The following is a 6,000-nucleotide window of genomic DNA, read 5'->3' on the forward strand; positions in this document are numbered from 1 at the left end:
TGCCAACCAGGCTGCTCAATGACCACCCTTTGAGAAGCAAGCCTGATCAGTCCTTCTCTTTCACGAGATTCTATTTACTTCCCCCACTCCACGTCTGCAGGACAATGATAGCAGGCAAGGTGCAAGGAAAGGAAATAGGTGATCAATGGGAAAATACGTCAGGAGGTGCTTCAGGAATGTCATCTCAGTTACTCAGACCACCGCCACCTTTTCCTCTCCCACTGGCACCACTGCTCCTTCTTGGGGACTCCTCACAGGCTATAGAAGTTTCAGTCATTACCCGTGTATTTGATGATGTGTTTCTCCCAAGCTATACTATCATTTTCTTGAAAGCATAGAGCAGAATTCCCAAACTGGTGGCGACAGGCTGCATATGGCCCCACAGATGTTTTATTTTACCATTACAGTGTTTTTAAAATATATAAGTTAGTGCCAAATGTAAAGCACTAATCCTCAACCCCAACTGCACACTAGAACCACCTGGAACACTTTCCGAAACATGTCAGTGTTTGAATCCCACCCCCTTAATGATTGAGCTTCAATCTGCCTGGGAAGGGTCCTAGATGTCAGTATCTGTTTTTAGTAAGCTTTTTACTTTAGAACAGTTTTAGATTTACACAATTATTGCAAAGACAATACAGAGTGTTTCCATATACCCCACATTCAGTTTCCTCTCTTATTAACATCTTACATTAGTATACTACCTTTGTCACAATTAATAAACTCATATTTACACATTATTATTAACCAATATCATACTTTATTCAGATTTCCTCAGTTCTTCCCTGATGATCTTTTCTGTTCCAGTATCCCATCTAGGACACCACATTCTATTTATCTGGTGTGTCTCCTTGGGCTCTTCTTGGTCATCATAGTTTCTCAGACTTACCTTGGATTTGATGATCAAGACAGTCTTGGGGAGTGCTGGTCAGGTGTTTGTACAATGCCTCTCATTTGGGATTTGTTTAATGTTTTTTTCATGATTAGGCTGGGGTAGACATCAGTAATTTTTAAAAGATACCCTGGTTATCCTGACGTCCAGCTAGTATTAAGAACCATTGATTTTTAAGGATCTGAAGAATTCATGTATTTCTAGCACTTTGGGAGGCTAAGGTGGGAGGATCACTTAAGGCCAGGAGTTTGAAAGTAGCCTGGGAAACATAGCAAGACCCTGTCTCTACAAATAAATACAATCTGTGTTACAAGAAAAAAAAAAGAATTTGCATGAAATTTTAGACTTTGGCTTCGCTTGACTGTGGGGGGATCTGACCACATGGAGACTGCAATCTTCCATGGAAATAACAGATTGGCCATGAGAAGTGGCTGTCAGCACCCTCCAGTACTCCACAATTGGCTTTGCTATTGGCCCTCATCTTCTGAAATTCCACCACCCACGCAGACATTAACTTCATCATCTTTGATACATAGCACCTAGCATGCTGCCTGACACTTGATGAGTGACTGACTGACTGACTGAATGAATGAATGAATTTATAAAGAATAAATGTGTGGTTACTGAAAATGGCAAACGTGTAGATTATATGATCAGAATAAAATACTGGGCAATGGGCCAGGCATAGTAGCTCATGCCTGTAATCCCAGCACTTTGGTAGGCAGAGGCAGACAGGATGCTTGAGCCCAGGAGTTCAAGACTAGCCAGGGCAACATGGCAAAACCCTGTATTTACTAAATGTGTATATTACATTTAGTTTTACTATATATTTATATTTGCTATTATATATATAATTAGCCAAATGTGGTAGCATGCAGCTATAGTCCTGGCTACTCAGGAGGCTGAGATAGGAGGATCACCTGAGCCTGGGAAGTCAAGGCTGCAGTGAACTGTGATTGCACCACTGCCCTTTATCTTGGATGATGGGAATGAGACCCTGTCTCAGAAAAATAAAATAAAATAAAATAAATACTGGGCTAAATATTGCAGATTGGTTTACTCAACATTCATCCTAACCTTCTTCCTATGTAATAAAATCTTGAAAGCTAAAAACTACATTTCCCAGACTCCCAGACAGCTAGGTCCCCTCTTGGGAAGGTAGTAGGCTGGTGCAAAAGTAATTGCGGATTTTGCCATTACTTTTAATGGCAAAAAGTAATGACAGACTCCTCACAAAACATGGAAGGAAAAATGAAGCCTGATGAGGAGGAAACCAGGCATAGGGAGATGATTTTACTGGCAAACACGGGTGGAGACATTTGGTTATTCTAAAACCAGCAGCTTCCTGATTGGTGCAGAGGCATCGTGGCTGTGGGGCCCAGAAGCAGCCAGTCCTGTGGTGTGGTTCTGGAAAGCTGCTCTTGAAGCATAGCCTCCTCGAATCTGCTCTTTCAATCTTCCCAACAATTTCTCTGTAAAATTACAAAATGATTTCTGTCATCGTCATTACTCATTTTGAAGGATACAATAATTGTGCAGAAGCTGCTAATTGCCTGCCTGATATCCATTCTCTTCTTCACTAACTTCTATATTTGGGAGGTATACACATGTCCTGCCTTTACAAAATGCTCTATTTCCATATTCCCTTGTAGAATGGAAGGCCAAGGAGATGAAATGGAAGACTTTGGACAGAACTTCTGGGAAAGCTCTTTAAAGCAGTCTACTAGACTGGCAAGCAGACATTCATTCTCCTCTTCTGACTTAGACATGGTATTTTTAGCTCCAGCAGCCGTCCTGTGAAGATGGGAGCACACGCTAAGGGCAGCAGAAAAGAAAGCCAGAAGGAGGTTGGATATTGATAACCACCGTGGTGCCATCTTACCAGCCCTCGGCCACCTACCCCAGCCTTCCGGTTATGAGAAAGAAAAACAAAATTAGCTTAAGCTACTATTATGTAGAGGTCTCAATTCCTAAGAGTTTAATGCATTTCCTTAAACACATATGCATGTTGCAGAATGCCCAGCTGGAAATTAAACTTTTTAAAAATTTATTAATTTATTTAGAGAAGGGGAATCTCACTATGTTGCCCAGGCTGGCCTCAAACTCCTGGGCTCAAGTGAACCTCCTGCCTCAGCCTCCCGAGTAACTGGGACTACAGGCATGTACCACCATGCACGGCTGAAATTAAACTTTGTGGGTGTTTTTCAGGTCTGGAAAAGGGGTACCAGAAAGTCAACTTGGCTTTTTCACCTGCCTAGTCCAATCTCTTGAGCCATCAAAATATCTCTCTCCATCTTCAGTGCTGCTTAAGGTTTCTGGAGACTTACCTGGGTAGCCAAGGCTGGGAGAGTGAGGAATAGCTCTATTATCTGGTAAGGAGATTTGTAATCAGCCCCTTCATGTTTTCAGAAATCCAGACAGAGCCCTAGAGAGAGACTGGGGAAGGGAATGCAGTTGGGGCTCTAGATTCATGTATTTGTAGGGAGATTTCTAAATATTGTGTGTCTACTGTATGCCAGGCAGTGTCTAGGCACTGGGGTGCAGCAATGAATGAAAGATAAGATCCCTGCCCTCATGGAGTTTGCACTCTACTGGGGCCTGTGGAAGGAAGCTGAGCTGTGTTACAGAATCACCCCAGTTGAGGTGACTGTGCAGGTGAATATGGAGACAAAATCTACTCTCTGACCTCAGCCAGTGAGGGTGCTACAGCCTGCCATAGAGCCCTGCACTCTTTCAGAGAGGGTTTCTCTCCCAGGCCAGCTGTCACTCTAATCTGCCCTCCCCACTGTGATCCCAGCTGGACACATGGCTCACTGGTTTTTCTGTTACTTTGTAAGTGCAGATAAGAACTCTATTCCTCACACTTTGGGGACAGAACAGAGTAAGCTGGGGTACACTGAGCTTGGAGAAGGGGAAGTACGGGTCTGGCTAAATATTTATAAAATCTTGATTTTTTTTCCTAAGGACAGAAGTCAAATAGAATATATACACTGATTACAACCACTTATTCATTCATTCATTTTATAATGAATATAGAATATGACCAGCAATGTGCTGGGCACTTGATCTTATTCACTTCCACAGAAACCCTGGGAGCAAAGTACTGTTATCTTCATTTTACAAACAAGGAGATCAATGCTTAGAGAAGTGAATTATCTTGATTGGGTGCTGTAAGAAATCAAAATAGATCTATCTGAGTCTAAGGCTGCATTCTTTCTGCTTCATTATTCTGCCTCCCCCATGCCAGTCTGCAACTAAAGACACCGTGTCCTAGAGAATGTTGCCAGTTTTTTTTTTTTGTTTTTTTTTTGAGACAGAGTCTGTCTCTGTCACCCAAGCTGGAGTACAGTGGCGTGATCTCGGCTCACTGCAACCTCCGCCTCCCGGGTTCAAGCGATTCTCCTGCCTCAGCCTCCCAAGTAGCTGGGATTACAGGCGCTCACCACCACACCTGTGCCAGTCTTTATCAAGCAAACCTTGCAAATCCAAAGCATAGCCACAGCAGTCACTCAGCAGTTGCTGAAAGCTGAAGTAGCCTGTCCAGCTTGGAGGAAGGCACAGGAGCCATTATGAATCTAGGAATTTAGTACTTTTCAGTAGATCCTTCTGGAGAGTATATCCAGCCATAAGAAATACTTGACAGTGCAATAAGAATATTTGCCTTTGCTATTTTTGTCATTTACATAACCTATTCTTGCTGCGGAGAGGGCATAATGCCAATTACTGCTTCTCTAAAGAGAGAAAAACGTTTTCTTTTGCCATTTTCACCTGCTCAGTCTTTGACTAAGACTGTGCGGTCTTCAGCAATATCTGCCAGTTAATGGAAATGCACAGTCTAGGGGAAATTGGAGAAGAAAAGGAGTTGCCAGAAATTTTTTCCAGACCACTGGATCTTCCTAGAACTAATTAGCTTGAGGCATGTGAGGAATAGAGATTGTGTACGTCTTATGGTCAGTAGGGGTATAGGCTAGGCACCAACTGTTGCCCTTCCCAGGATGAACGCACTTCCTCCCCCAGAGAGAATCAGCCTCTCCCTCTGCCCGCACCACACTGGGAACATATCTCCACATTCACACTTACCACACTTGAGTTTACGTCTGCCGCCTCAGGATCAGGAATGCTGTCTTTTCATCCGTCTCTATATCAAAACTCTTTCAGTGTTGGTGGCAAAAGACAAAAACTAATTCAAACTGGCTTCAGCCAAGAAGATGGGGTGGGAGGAGAAAATCTATTGGCCCAAGTAATTGAAAAGTTCGGGGCTAGGGCCAGATTGATAGCAGCTCTAATAATATCTTCAGAATTCCATTTTTCTCTGTCTTAGCTCTGCCTCCCGCAGTGTGGGTTTATTTTAGGTACTATGTAGTGGCTCCTGGCCATTCCAGGCTCACGTCACCATTTCGGTAAGTAACTTCAGGAGGAAAATATCTCCCTGGTACGTCCCACTTAGGTCCTTGGTTCATTGCTATTGGAGGAACCTGAGTGACTCAATCACTACATGAATCGCTAGCAAGAGGAATTCAGTGCCGTGATTGGCCAGCCCTCAGTCACGTGCTCCAGCCTGGAGCTGGGGGTGGAGCCTGTCTAAGCCAAGCCGACTAAGCAGGGGTGGGTGGGAGTGGCTCCCTAAAAGAAACTCAAGGGCTGCTGCCAGAAGAAAAGGTGGAGTGGATGATAAGTGACCAATATGACACATGTTCCTGCAGCGACCCCCCTGCCAAACGGCATGGCACACAATAGGAACCCAGAAGTCTTTATTCAGTTTATTGTTGAAGAAGGAAGTGCTGCCAGGTGCAGACTTGGGCTTAAAGCGTTCTCTGATTCAGGCATTGCTGTATAGATGGTGTTGGTAAGAGATGCCCATCACGGCTTTCTCTGCTCTCTTACTACTCTTCTCTGTGTTTCTGACTTAGCCTGGTAAGTTGCACTTGATCCTGGGTACCTTCCTCTGTTTCACAGCATGCCATTTATTTTCCAATCATGACTAGTCTATCCTCTGTCAACTGAGAAAGAGCTCTCTAGAAGGCAGGGCCCAAGTTTCCTCCCTCCTTGGTCTACAGAGCTCAACTGGAACTGAGCTGCCTTGAGGAAACATGAGTTGGGCCAGATGC

The 6,000-nt window shown here is 43.9% G+C and overlaps 2 long non-coding RNA genes across 2 annotated transcripts in view; one reads left to right on the plus strand and one right to left on the minus strand.

Moving 5' to 3' along the window:
- Window positions 1–4,196, plus strand: part of LOC101928573 (uncharacterized) — a 67,731-nt gene extending 63,535 nt beyond the window's left edge. Inside the window, exon 4 of the long non-coding RNA XR_007059489.1 lies at window positions 2,545–4,196. This is a non-coding gene — a long non-coding RNA (uncharacterized LOC101928573). The remainder of the gene's footprint in view (window positions 1–2,544) is intronic.
- LOC124901272 (uncharacterized) lies at window positions 2,074–5,748 on the minus strand. Its single transcript, XR_007059490.1, has 2 exons — window positions 4,973–5,748; window positions 2,074–2,364 (listed from the first exon to the last, which is right to left on the minus strand). It is a non-coding gene; the product is annotated as an uncharacterized LOC124901272 (long non-coding RNA).
- Window positions 5,749–6,000: the final 252 nt, after the last annotated feature.

This window comes from Homo sapiens, chromosome 6, assembly GCF_000001405.40.
Source record: "Homo sapiens chromosome 6, GRCh38.p14 Primary Assembly".
Lineage (NCBI taxonomy): Eukaryota > Metazoa > Chordata > Mammalia > Primates > Hominidae > Homo > Homo sapiens.